The sequence below is a fragment of the Homo sapiens genome, chromosome 18 (genome assembly GCF_000001405.40).
Source record: "Homo sapiens chromosome 18, GRCh38.p14 Primary Assembly".
Lineage (NCBI taxonomy): Eukaryota > Metazoa > Chordata > Mammalia > Primates > Hominidae > Homo > Homo sapiens.
This window is the reverse complement of record NC_000018.10, coordinates 35506128-35520490: the sequence shown is the minus strand read 5'-3', so window position 1 is coordinate 35520490 and position 14363 is coordinate 35506128. Positions and strand designations below refer to the sequence as shown.

At 44.8% G+C, this 14363-nt stretch overlaps 1 annotated feature.

Annotated features, from left to right (window-relative positions):
• Window positions 11055-11637: an enhancer, noted in NCBI's record as "OCT4-NANOG hESC enhancer chr18:33088818-33089400 (GRCh37/hg19 assembly coordinates)". NCBI's record gives its function as "activates a minimal SCP1, AML or CMV promoter by ChIP-STARR-seq in naive H9 embryonic stem cells {active_cell/tissue: H9 hESC(naive)}" and the evidence as "EXISTENCE:reporter gene assay evidence [ECO:0000049][PMID:30033119]".

Sequence of the window (14363 nt, the reverse complement as noted above, 5' to 3'; positions counted from 1 at the left end):
TCAAGCAATAAGAAGATTACTCTGCAAATAGTGCCCAGACTGGAAAGGGAAGTTCTCTGATTTTGCCACAGTATACAGACACAACATCACACTTGCCTAAAGTATACGAGATCAAGCACAAGAAGGGCCTTTCAGTGATGGGTGGAGGGTGAGTCTTTGTTATAATTGCTATGTTTTGTTTTTTTGTTTTTTAAGTCTATGTGTACCTTGGTTACAAATATACTAGTACTTACCTTCTAGGGTTGTAGTAAGGATTGAATTGGTGAATATATATTAAAGGCTTCAGCACAGCACTTGGTTTTTGGTAATTCAGAGTAGAGGGATTTTAGAAAGGGAGTCACAGTTGGGCTGGGCGCGGTGGCTCACACCTGTAATCCCAGCACTTTGGGAGGCCAAGGCGGGTGGACCATGAGGTCAGGAGTTCGAGACCAGCCTGGCCAACATGGTGAAACCCTGTCTCTACTAAAAATACAAAAATACAGGTATGGTGGTGTGCGCCTGTAATCCTAGCTACTCAGGAGGCTGAGGCAGGAGAATCTCTTGAACCCGGCAGGCTGAGGTTGCAGTGAGCTGAGATCAGGCCATTGCACTCCAGCCTGGGTGACAAGGAAAGACTCCGTCTCAAAAAAAAAAAAAAGAAAAAGTAAAAGAAAAAAAAAAAAAGAAAGGGAGTCACGGTAAGCAAGAGAAAAGCCATGTGTACTGCAGTGTCTCCCTTCAGAAGGTCCCAGAGCCCTTCCAGCTAGCACAAGGGAGACCCAGCCCATCTGACCTCACAAGTTGAGCTTTTAGCTCTCTTCCAGGATAGCAGGGCTGGTCAGGGTGTGGGGGTAGAACAAAGGGAACCAGGGGAGTAGAAACGACTGAGAACATGAAGCAGAGAGACAAACGATCTTTCAGAACACCAACATCAGACAAGGTCACTTAGACAAAACAAGGCCACTTCATAATTTTGCTTAGGCACAGACAAAAGTAGTTATTGTGTCACCCACAAAATTATAAGCATTCCTCCCTTGGCTAATATGAGTGACTGCTGTTTCTTTACCAATTATAGCTTTATTCCTGCTCTAGCGAGCCCTCTCATAGATAAGTTTTCTCGACATAACCAATCACAGAATTGTCCTCACTTTCTGATATTGTGCAATCCAGGGAAAGCCTCTGCCTTCCTGGTTCCTCTTTAATAACCCCCCAAGCCCCAACCCCATAATAGAATTTTTCTAACACACTGTTATTGAGATGCCCCATGGTTCCCCTGGTGTAGTTCTATCTCACTATGAGAAGTACACCCAACACCTCGTCAGCTACAGGTGTGTTCTTGGTGGACTTTGGTTGGAGGGCATTTATACACTGTTGACCATGGGCACTTTCTTTTCCTTTTTCTTTTTGAATTTCTTTTGGAGATACGGTCTCACTCTGTCACCCAGGCTGGTGTACAGTGGCACCCTCACAGCTTGCTGCAGCCTTGAACTCCTGGGCTCAAGGGATCCTCCTGCCTAAGCCTCCTGAGTAGCTGGGACTACAGATATGCACCACTGCACCAGGCTAATTTTTATAAAGGCTGGGTCTTGCTTTGTTGCCCAGGCTAGTCTTGAACTCTTGGCTTTAAGCAATCCTCCTGCCTTGGCCTGCCAAAGTGCTGAGATTACAGGCATAAGCCACCAACCATGTGGCTGATTTTGCCACAGTATACAGACACAACATCACACTTGCCTAAAGTATACGAGATCAAGCACAAGAAGGGCCTTTCAGTGATGGGTGGAGGGTGGGCCTTTGTTATAATTGCTATGTTTTGTTTTTTTTGTTTTTTAAGTCTATGTGTACCTTGGTTACAAATATACTAGTACTTACCTGGCCATGAGCACTCTGAATCCTGAGACTGAGTGTATTCATTGTGATTCTCCAGAAAAACAGAACCAATAGGATATATATACACACACATATATATATATATGAAATTCACATTTATTATATGAACTAATATATTGTAATGTTTATATACATGATATAAATAAAATAAGGAATCAGCTCATACCATTGTTGAAGCAGAGAAGTCCCAAGATCTGTAGTTAGCAAGCTGGAGACCCAGGAGAGCCGATGGTGTGGTTTCAGTCTGGGTTCAAAGGCCGGAGAACCAGGAGAGCTAATGATGTAAGTTCTCGTCCAAAAGCCGGCAGACTTGAGACCCATGAAGAGCCAATGTTTCCCAATGAGTTCAAAGGCGGGAGAAGAGTCATATCTCAGCTCAAGGCAGGCAGCAGGAGGAGTTTTTAACCCCCTTACTCACAGGAGGGTCAATCTTTTGTTCTATTCAGGCTTCAGCTGATTGGATAAGGCTCACATTAGGAAGGACAATCTGCTTTACTCAGTCTACCAATGTGGATGTTAATCTGATCCAAAAACACCCTCATGGACACATCCGGAATAATGTTGGACCAAATGTCTGGGCACCCTGGGGCCCAATCAAATTGACACATAAAATTAGCCATCACACTGTGGTTTGATGTTGGCCAAAGACCTAAAGAAAGACCTGGATGCAGCCAGCATGCTGAAGGTGTGGACAGTGAACAAACAGATGCTGAGATGAAAAGGACCCAGGTGACCTCTGCAGCCTATGTCTGTTGCCTTGGCCCTGGAACACTGTGTTCTTATTTTTGAAAGTTTGTAAATAGAAGGAATTTTGTACAGGACCACAGTGAGAGGTGGCATGTAAGTGCTGGTTTGGAGCGTTATCTGCTCTACCACATAGACTTGGGGCCTTGGAGGCAAAGGGAGTCTCTGTGGCCAGGAATCAGAGTCCAGTTTCTTGAGGGCCCTGGGCACAGTCCACAGAATGAAAGGAGGCTAAAGGGGGAGTCATTTGGGAAATCTGAACAGGAAATGACCATTCTTTTCCAAGAATTTGGACATGACCCAGATGTGTCAAGGTTGTCCATCAAGTTGGTGTCATTTTCAGGGCCAGTTTCAGGGTTATGCCACCTGGGTAGTCACACAGAGTCTATGTACAGGGGCCCAGGCTTTGTTGTCACTGTCCTGAAATTTTTAATATCTTTGAACAAGGGACTCTGCATTTGTATCTTGTACTGGAACCCACAAATTGTGTAGCCAGTCCTGGACATGTGGTCTGCAGCCCTAAATGGTGACACCCATTCTAGATGTAGAGAAAGAGACTGATTCTAGAGTGGACCCATGAGTCCCCCGAGTCCAGGTGTGGTGCCACCAGGGCACCCCTGGCTACCTCAGGTCAGTCTGGGTTAGACCACAGCAACTGAGCCCCTGAAATTGTTTTTCTTTGCAATTGAATTGTTTTTAGTAAATTTAAAAGTAGAAATGTCAACTCTTTCTTCCTCTAAACCTTAGCACCTTGTGTGTGGCTCTCATCCATGCTGGAGTTGCAGGAGGAAGATGGGAAATGTGTTAAGAGTGGGGTGGAGCCAGGAAGTGGGCAGTGGGCAGACAGTGACGGTGGAGGAGGCCAGAGGTGGCTCAGGGAAGTCCTAGAGGAGAAATGTGTGGGTGGTTCTGATTTGTCAGGAATTCCATCACAATTTTCCATATCCCTTCATATTATAATAGACTGGCTTCGTGCCCCACATTAGGCCTCAAGATGCAGGAAACAGCAACATTCAAGCATTAGGAGAGAATGTCAAGTACCTGGCTTTAAGCTAGTGAATGTACTATTACTTGGTTAGTTTAAATATACGGTACACGTATTTTTCCGTTTGACTTCATTACCACAGTATAACAGCATTGTTTTCTACCAGTGTGATTGCACATGCATTATGGATTAGTTTTAGCGAGGTTTTCATGTGAAACCGAATTTTGGGTGCCAACTAACCAAACTGTAAATGCACTTTTGGAACACAACTTGTTTGTAAGCTGGGGCCATGCATGTTTAAAATTAGGAGAATACTGGATTGCAAAGTCCCAATGAGAGTGACACAGCATGAATGCACTATATATATCCTTAGGAGAATTACAGAGGGAACTGGTCTCCATAAGGGCCTCAGTCATATGCAGTGATGATGTCTGGGGACATTTGCAGAGTTTGCAGAGTTTCTTTTTTGTTTAAGTCCATGAAACCGTATTTGACTCAATGCCACTCTGTGAGGTGTCTGGAACCAGCTCTTGGTATCTATTTTGACAGCCAGGAAACCCGGGGCCTCAGACAGAGACTGCCTGGCTGATCTAAAGGCAGAGGGTGCGTATGAGCTGAAGGAGCCATTGCACGGGAGGATTTTAGGAAGCAAGGCCAGGGAGCCTCCTGCTTTGAGCTGCCCTCCTCTTTACCGCTCTGGTCTCTGATGTTTTGTTTTTGACTGGTGTGTCTGGGCTCATGTTTTATGAGAAGACTCTCTAAATATTTTTTCCTGCCTTTTCATCTGAGCTGGAGTTCACCCTGTCTTCATTTTCCCTCAGCAGGAATGTGGCAGGCAAGTGAGTGGAGTAACTTCTAAATGTGACTGACTTTTATCTTTCCAAAATCTATGCTCTTAGGTCAGTCCCAGTAGTTCTGGAAGAAGCACGAAGGGAGAAGAATTTTCCCCAGGCTAGACAGAATCTCCCGGGGCTGGAGAAAGATGGTCTGTTGAGTAGGCTGAACCAGCGGGGGTGCGAACAGGAAATGGCTTCATTTTACTTTCTTTGTCTGTCTTGAAACATTTTTAGTTGAATTTCCATTCCTGACTCCTTAACATGTCAGGCTAACTTTTACTTTTAGTTTATAAACTTCCAGTAGCATTTAACTTAAAATGTCACCCCCAATTTAATCCTAACTCTTTCCATCTTCCCTGCACAGGGCACTCATCACAGCGTGGAGGCAGGAGTGTGGGCAGTCCTCTTTGCTTTCCCTCCTCCACCTCTCAGTGTGCCCCAGCAGCGAGAGGCCACATCCCTCTCCAGTCACTGACAACTCTTCAAAGGGCTCCCCCTTTTGAATTTCTTTCCTTCTCTTTAACCTGAGCATAGAGCTGAAGGTAGTGGACCAGTTTAGTCTCCTCAGTTATGTGGGGATGCTTTTTAGGATGTCAGGGTGTGGAAGGGAAGAAGGAATAAATAGAGATACACACACACACACACACACACAGACACACACAGACACACACCCCACAGTGCTCTGTGGAGTCCTGACACCTGCGAGATCTGCGCTGAGCTGCTTGGCAGCCTCCAGAGAGCTGGATGGACCCCAGAGAGGAGAGGCTGCCAACCGAAGACCATAAGCCGAATTTGGTTGTCGAGACCAATGTCTTGTTTAGCACGTTGTTATAAACAATTCGAATGTCACCCCAGTTTGTCATTGAGCAGTGCTTCTTAGATCCTGGGCCTCCATGGGCTCCACTGATGTCCATTCACAGCCTGGATCCTGTGACCCTGCATGGGAACTTAGACCACAGGCTGCCTTGGCCCAGATTCCCACTCCTAGGGGTACCTGGGGCACAGAGGCTGCCAAGGAACCTGGGACCTGAAGAGGCCATTTGAGAGCAAGGACAAGAGCTGGTTCTCCCTCAGTACATACACATACCCTGGCACTGTGTAACCTGGGGAGGGGAAGAACATTCCAGCAAGGACAGCTCATGTCATTCAGCAACTCAGAAGATCTGGGGCTAGGAGCTAGCTATTCATTTGAAAGAATCAAGCAACTTTTCTTTGCAGTAAACTTTTCTTCAGTTAGTGAGACAAAAAAAAAATTTAGAAGGTAAAATTAACAATTTGTCAAGTTATCTTATTTCTCACATTATCTCTCAACTGTCCTTTCAAACATCTATTTTTGCTGTCGTCTTCATCATTATGCACAGTCACTGCCTTTAAATAACTGGATGTGTTTGTCCATTCATTCTTTCAGCCATTCACTAAAACCAGGTGGCCACCGCCTGTGTGTGATGGGAACTTAGGACAAAAACAGACAAACCAACAAAATACAAAAATAAAAAGTCAGACAGTGTCTCTGCCCTGGACAAGTCTATAGCTGGAGGAAAGAGAAGGTATGATCTTCAGAAACACACTTGCTGCCACCACAAGCAGACACACCCTAAATCATGGCCTTCTGCTTCTTAAACTGGAACTTATTTATTTAATAGCACCTCAATGTGGTGTGGATACACTGGTCCAGTGGCCACTGTCCTCTGCACCCCCAACTCCCCATCAAAGGGAGATGGAGGATGGGGAGGTTTGAATCAGAACTGGTGCGTCTCTGCCTGGACAACAGAGAGAGCCACTTGAAAAGGTGGCTGTGTGTGTATATGAATATGTATGTGTGTAAAAACGTATATGTATATATTTGTGTTATGTATGTGTAGATGTAGGAGAGTGAGTGTGATTTTTTTATGTGTGACTGTGTACATGTGTATACATGCATGTGTGCTACGTATATAGAGGTGTGCATGTATTTTGTGCGTATGTGTGTATGTGTATTCTGTGTGTGTGTACACCTGTGTAAGATATGATGCCAAGTCTTGGGACAAGCAGGGGGAGCCGAGAGCTAAATGCTTCTTAGTCCCACAGCACAAAATTGCAGTCAGAGGTGGGGCTGTGGGCATTGTGGCCAATGGTCAAGACTGGAGCCACACTGACAGGAGCAACATTTCCCAGGGGGGCTGTGAAAATGGATTCCTTCTCACTATGCAGTAAGTGTCCCTGATAGCTGAGATCAGCTCTTGGCTCTCCTGGAGGGCCTGGGCCTGGCTGAGCCTGAGCTGTCTGCATTCTGTAAGGCACAGCAGGGAACCTGGGCTGGAAACCCTGGCTGAGACAGGCTGCCCATTCCAGAAGCATGACGAAGTCACTCCCATGCGTGGGGCCATGAACCCAGGGCAAGAAGGGAGGGTTCCGAAAGCATTGCAGGCCTCAAAAGGCTTTCACCCAGTGGGGCAAAGGAACCCTGGGGCTGCTGGGACCTCAAACTTTGCTCCTCCTTCCTTGGGATACTGTCTGAAACTGTCTGGCTCCTAGTCAATAAAGGGAACACAAGAACAACTGCCATAACGCTGGGTAGAGTGAAGGGGAGCACCTAAAATTCAGGGCTATAAAATACAGGGTCAAGTTATGAGGAAATGACTGAGTAGTCAGGAGTGGCTCGTGCAGCCAACAGACAGGTTGAACTTGGCTCAAGTTTATGCAGGGTGCATTCCTGCTTCGAGGAGAGGTTAACATTTCCACATCCTGGAAGGTGCGTGGGATGTCTGGTCTGGGAGGGGCAGGAAGCTTAGCTTGTCAAGAGGCTGCCATAAGACTACCATGATTATCTATGACATAGGAGTCCCAGAGCCACCCCAAAGCCTTTGTGAATGACAGACAATAAGAACCAACTTCCTATTTGCTCAGATGTCACCCTGTGAGAGGTGAGTAAAAGGAATACATATTTTGACAGAGACCAGTTTCCCTCTGTGAGACTGTCCAGATGGGACATTCTGGTCTCTGGGGGGTACCTCATGATATGAGCACCCCAGTGTCATGGGGCAGTCCTGGGTTCACACTTGGTGACCCAGGTCAGGCAAGGTGATGGTGGGAAGGCCTATGTGAGTTATTTGTGGTGTCCCCTGTGCATCTCCTTCGAAGTAAAGGCCTGTCTATTTGCCTTTGTAGCCTGTTATGGAACTGGGGAGCCCATAGCACAGCTGGGGTGTGGGAGCTAGTGAGAAGAAAAGACCCCTCCATAACATGGGGACTATGGGCCCCTCTACAAAACTGACCTGAGGATGAATGTGGCAGTGCATGTGACATCTTGGGCAAACGGCTTGGCACATAGGACATACTCGGGACATAGAATGCCTGGGCAATTTTGCAGACTTGTTTCTCCAGCTGAACCTTGGCCTCACCTAAACTTAATCAGCCTGCTGAGCCATCATAATAGTAGAGTTGCTTATGCCAGTGGCACAAAAACATGACTTCCCCTACTCTTTGTGAAGGAGGAGGAAATGAATTTAAGAATGCTCATGATCCTAAATTTCAGGTGTGTTTTAGAATAATTTTGACATTATTTACTCCTTTCCTAATAATCTTACAATCTTAAGACTTTAAGCAATTCCAATATGGGAGTTGTAGTTATAGGACATTGAGCTTGGTCGTTATGGGAGTTTTACATTAAATAAGTGATACATTTATTAATAAGATACAGCTGCCTTGAGTGAAATCACAGGATTTCTCCCCAAGGCTCCCATTTGAGTTGGTTGTTCTCCTTTGTTGTGAGATTACTTCAAGTGTCTATACCCTAAGGTGGTATAACATTTCAACCTGCATTGCTTCTGGATGATTTAAACACCTCAAAGTCCATCAGCAGGAAATCAATGGCACACTCAAATTATGAAAATCTGTGGAGAGTTCAATGAAGTAACAGTTTAGCAAGGTTTGGGCTGGGTGTCAGGAGATCACAAGGGAGCTAGGGGACCAAATATCTTGAACCTACTCTCCCTCACCTATTTCCTGCTGAGTTTCCCCATTGGCTGAACCTACCTGGGCACCAGAGGGCAACAGAGCCCTTGGTCTCTTCATCTGGACAGTTCTTGGGCAGAAAACAGGGGAGAACGTCATTTGATGGGGGAAGGAGTGTTTACCAATTTCAGATATGCACATCTGGGATAGAGAATTGAATGAGCTCTCTAGGATAGGAAAAATATAAGGGATAACTCCTAAAGGAAAACCAAAAAAATAACCTGTGTTTCATGCTAGGCAGATCTAAGCACAACTAGCCTAATCAGACTTAGGCTAAGAGTTGGCCTCCAGGGACTCAGTAAGAAGGGGATAACCATGCAGGCACATGGTTGAGCTGGCTTTCTCTGGGGCAAGAAGTGAAACTGTGATGTCTTCCCCAACACCCTCATTAGGGCTGGGCTCTGTGGCTGAGAGAGTTTCCATCTTGCCCATTCTCTGTGCCCAAAATACTCACCGTCCTTTTTGACTCCTGATTGCCAAGACCTGGTGTGACCCAATGCTGAGCCAGTCCAGGTCACAACAACACTAAAAAAAGATCAAGAAGGCAATAGGAAAAGGAGAGAAAGAGAAGAGAAACCAAATACCTCAGAGACCTCAGCCAAGGCAGGCCCACAAGCACACACAAATAGACGTTCAAGGATATGTACATGAAATAATAAGAATCAGAAACATAAGGAACTGGAAAACAGAGAGATGAGATGAAGAGACTTCATGGATTTTGATGATAAACGTATATTTTAATAGCTGCTGATAGCTTGGGTTTAGGCCATCAGAATAGATGCTCACTGCCTTTTGCAATACTGACCAACTCATCAACAATAAAAATAACTTTTCTTTGGGAGGTTGAGGTGGGAGGATTGCTTGAGGCCAGGAGTTTGAGACTAGTCTGGGCAACATAGCAACACCCCATGTCTACAGTAAAATTTTAGAAAGAAAAAAAATGACTTTCAAACTCTATATTTATTCTTGAAATCAAGGCATATTTTATTAATGAGTTCTAAAGATGTTTTTAATAGTATGTGATAAAGCAAATCAAAGTGTGGGTTTTTTTTTTTTTTTGCAATTTATATTCAAGTAGGAGTAATTCTGCCTGGGGGCAGATAACATTCACTTGGAGGTATATCTGAATTGGACCCTGCGGAATTTCCAGGCCAAGGGAACAGCATGAGGCCTGGAGCATGGAAGGTAGTCAGGGCTCAGTCAAGACAGCAGTGAGTCCAAACCTGGGCCCAGAGGAAGCATGGGCAGTGACAAGGCTGGAAAGATGAGCCTCATAAAATGTGAACATGATATTTGCTTTCTCTGCCTCATGGCAGAGTATAATGAAATGTAAGTAAAAATGCTTTGGATATTAGGAGACACTGACTTTTGTCATATATGCTTTTAGATTTTTCATTGAAAAATCAGGTCAGTCATTTTGCCATTAAGAAAGCCAAGTAATGTTTAAGAGATACACAGACCTGACATATAACATGGGCAATCACTTAGAAGAGAAAGTCGTAAATAAAAAGACATCCTCCCTGGTATTTGCTTTCCAGTGGAGCTGCTGCAGAATAAGCAGGCATCAGGAAATTGCATCGGGAATTCCTATGCAATGTGCTATAATGCTGCTCTTAAAGCAGTCAACCACATATCAGGTGCTCTGAGGCAATATGAGAAAAGCAGTTTATAATCTAATTAGAAAAACATTCAAGAACCAATGAGAAAATAGCATAAGGTAGTGCTTAACAAGAGGCTCAGTGGCGTAGTTCTGGCTGTCAGGGTGACAGGAATTTGGAGAAAGGTCTGTGAGGTGTTGACAGAGTCTCAGGGAAGTTAGATGGATGCCAGCTGGGCCTGGAAGGATGGAGCAAAACTGAAGAGTGCAAAAGAGAGAATATGTTGTTTGAGGGGTGGAGACCATGAGTGGCAGAGGAAGGGGTGAGAACCAGCTGTGCTGAGGACTCCTGCCTGGCCAAGGGTCCCGAGTGAGGGAGCTGAAAACATCACTAAGGCATCTGGAGTAGTACTCATTCTCAGAATCTGCTGGTTTCTGAAAGATTCGGGTTAAATGTGACAGAGGCTCTTTATGAACTCAGCCCACCACTAGAACATTATTCAGATGCCAGCTTCATTCTTCTTGTGAGCTAGCAGGGATGATTAAAAATAATGACACTAAATACTGTTGGTAAGGATGTTGATGCTGACAACAGCAATTGGAATTGTCAGTTGTTGACATTTCCTGGATTATTATGGTTATTTTTAAATAACAACCAGAGAGCCTCAAAACAGCCATAGATATCTGCACTGGAAAATTCGACCAAACACTTATGGAAGAAATAATACATAATATTATAAGTCTTCCAGAAAATCAAAGAGGAGGGAATACTTTTCAACTCAGCCTATGAGGACAGCATTACCCTAATACCAAAAGCAAAAACTCATGACAAATTTGTAGCAAATTAAATCCAATGTTACTACAAGGGTAATACATTATAATAAAGTGAGATTTAACCCAGGAATTCAGGGTTGGTTTAACATTCAAAAACCAATCGAATTTGCCATATTAACAGAATGAAAGGAAAAAGTATATGATATCCTTACTAGATGCAGAATAAGCATTTGAAGAAATCCAACCTCCATTCCATATTTAAGACTTTCAGAAATAAAAGGGAACTTCCTCACTTGATAAAGAACATCTACAGAACACCTGCAGCTAACATCATACTTAAGGGTCAAAGATGAATGCTTTCCCTCTAAGACTGGGAGGGAGATAGGGATGTCTGTGCTCATGGCTTCTATTCAGCATTGTACTGAACAGTCTGGCCAGTGCAGTGAGCAAGAAAGAAGCAGCAGGGCTTTGATTGGCTCAGGCCTGGCACTGAGAAGAGGGGAGAGGTCTGCCAGGAATGCCTCTGATGTTCTCCAGCACACAACGGGACATCAGATACATTGCTGATGCAAACCAGCAGGACCACTATGTAGCTGTGTGACCTTAAAACATCCTTTAATCTCTTGGAATCTGTTTCCTAAGTGATGGAGTGAGCATAATAGTAGCCCACTGGCAGATTTGTTGTGACGCTTAAATGGAGTAAGATTGTGTCAAAGTGCTTTCAAACTGGAAAGCGCTATTCCAGCGTTTGGATTTGCTACATTCATATTGAGTGACCAGGGAAGCAATGGGATCCATTAGGAATGTAACAGGGAGGTTTGAGGATTTGGGATTTGAAGACCAAGGTCTAGACTAGGTGCTCGAAGAGGGGCTGGGGGTCAGGCTGAAGATGGGGACTGATACCTGCTAAGCTGTAGCAGGACCCTGGAGCACGCTGTGCAGGCAGCCAGCTTGGGTTGCATCTCTCCTTCTCTCGGGTGGGGCAGAGGCATGCTGGTTAGCAAGAGGAAGGGGCACGGGACAAGAGGATCCTGGATCAGCTCTCTTAGCAGGGGTACCCTCCTTATTATTCTGTTCTCTCTCTGTTGACTTTTACAAGCTCTTTCCATCCTAAAGACTTCTCCTGGCTCAGAGGAAAGTGATCTGACAAAATAACTCAAAGTGAGACACCAGGGATTGGTGATTAAACACTCAACCTTTCTGGGGGAAGCATCTGCCTTTTAAGAGGCCTCAGGGTCAAAGCCGTGCCTACGGTGGCTCTCCAGGAGTTTGGAGAGGTGCTGGGGCTCCTATATATAAGATATTTTTGGTCTTATTCTTCTGTAAGGAGTCCCCTCCTCCCATACTGAGTTAATTCATTGCTTGCCCTATAGCAGGGGGTAGGGGAAGTGGAAGAAAAGCCCTCATGACAGAAGGAGGTACAGGAGGAAGGACCGTATAGGCATGAGGTGAGGCTGGGGAGAGAAAGGGCAGATGCGGCAGTTTCATAATCTGCCCATAGCTGGCCTCAGGAAGAGCACCCAGTGACACAAAAGCCAGCTCATCGGGCCAGCCCCACAGGGAATGGCCAGGAGGGCCAAGGGCTAAGGAGGACAACACCGGTGTTTGTGATGTGTGTGCATTTGTTAGTGTGTGGCTGGGCATCTGGACGGGTGGGAGGAAGGAGATTTCCTTTGCTCTCAGAATAAGTACCTGGTGAGATCTTTGCTTGAAGGATAGAGTGAAAGCATTCAAATCTTTAATTGAGGAATCATGAACCATTACGTTCTGGGACTAGGAACAAGCCCTTGCCTTGCAGATGGCTACTTCAGATAATGGGAAACTATAGTGGCTTGCTCTGGCCACCTCTTGGTTTGACAAGTCCTCCCGCATATTTTGCATGGTTTTGAGAAGTTGTGTCACTTCTGGACATGTGACAATTGTGTACTTTGGGGGCGGGGTGGGTTGAAGGTGTGGATCCTGGGAGCTTTAACTATAGAAAACAATAAGGAACAAAATAATGTTCTGATGCTCTTTAGTTGTGATTTTTTTAAAACTCCAGGAAGGGTAAACAACTGGCAATCACTTTAGCTCTTAGTATCATCAGTAGCCATAGCCCTAGCGGTCCAATATTTGCACCCATTTTTAGGTTTGAAGACTTCATCGTTCTAAAAAGCCAAAAATGTAAGATAGAAATTTTTCAAGTCTCTCTTGCTGTGAGGGCCTGAGCACAGGCTACAGGCTCCACCCACCCACCCAGTGGCCCACCTCAAATTTCATGCAGGAGAGCTTTGTGAGAGGAGGCAGGCACAGGCAGCAGCATCCCACCTGCCTTGGCCAGGCATGAAAGAGTAGGTGCGTGTCATCCACGGTGGTTGTAGCACTGCCTCTGCCACTAGCTCTTTCACACTCTGACCATCCTGCCAGCTCAGCCTTACTCTCCAGAACAAAATGACTCCACTCTGGGACCAAGAACTCTTCTTGCAAATTTCTCTTGTTCTTTCCCACACTTGTTTCCAAAGCCCTTTAGGTCGTCAGTGTCCCTGCACCAATTAAATCTCTGCACTTGAAGCAGTACATCTATGGCAAATGTGTATATGTCTGTTGTTTAGGGTCCACCCAGAGCTGTCCTGGGCCTGTCACAGGGAGACACCAGAAAGTATGTGACAAAGGTAGCACTTCTCATGAAAATCACAAAAAAAGCCAAGACTTTCATAGATGAAAGTAGTCTTATAGATCATCACTGCTTTACAAGTAATAACTTCCTCGTCCAGAACTATTGCATCCTTCACTTGAGGTTTTACCTGAGTGTGATTTCTGCTATATCCCACTGCCTCTCCGCTTGCTCGGGGCATTTGTTTGGCAAATATAGTTATGTAGTATCAAGTGCAATGAAAAAATCCTTGGTGTAGATGAGTGGAACTCTCGTTTGCTGCTGGTGGGAAGGTAAATTGGTACAACCACTTGTCAAATGGAAGTATCTATTAAAGTATACTCTGTGACCCAACAATTTCATTCTTGATATAATCCAACAGAAGTTTACCTATGTAGGCTGAAAGATATGTATGCACAATGTTCAAAGCAGCTTCATTCAAAAGAGCCAGAAGACCCTGGAAACAACCTAAATGTCCAGCAGATGAATAGTTACACTGTGGCTTGTTCTCACAGTGGAAAACCATACAGCCACGACAATGAAGTACTGCTACATGCTGCAAAAGGAATCTCCTCCAAGGCAGACACACAAGAATACATACAGTACACGACTGATTACATTTCTATAAAGCTCAGAACTAATCTCTGGTGGTTGAAGCCAGGAAAGTGGTAACCTTGGGGATTGGCAATGGGCATGAAGCAGGGGCTTTTAGGTGCTGATAACATTCTGTTTCGTAAGCTGGATTACCAAGTATGTTTACTTTGTAAAAATTCACGTGGCTGTCCACAAATGATTTGTGCACATTTTTTATGTGTTATGCCTTAAAAAAATGTTTACTTAAAAATGTCTGACAACTCAGATAAACAAAATTGGTTAGCTCATTTTAGAGATAAGGAAACTGAAGCCAAAAAGAGGTTAAAAATTACCCAAAAAGGC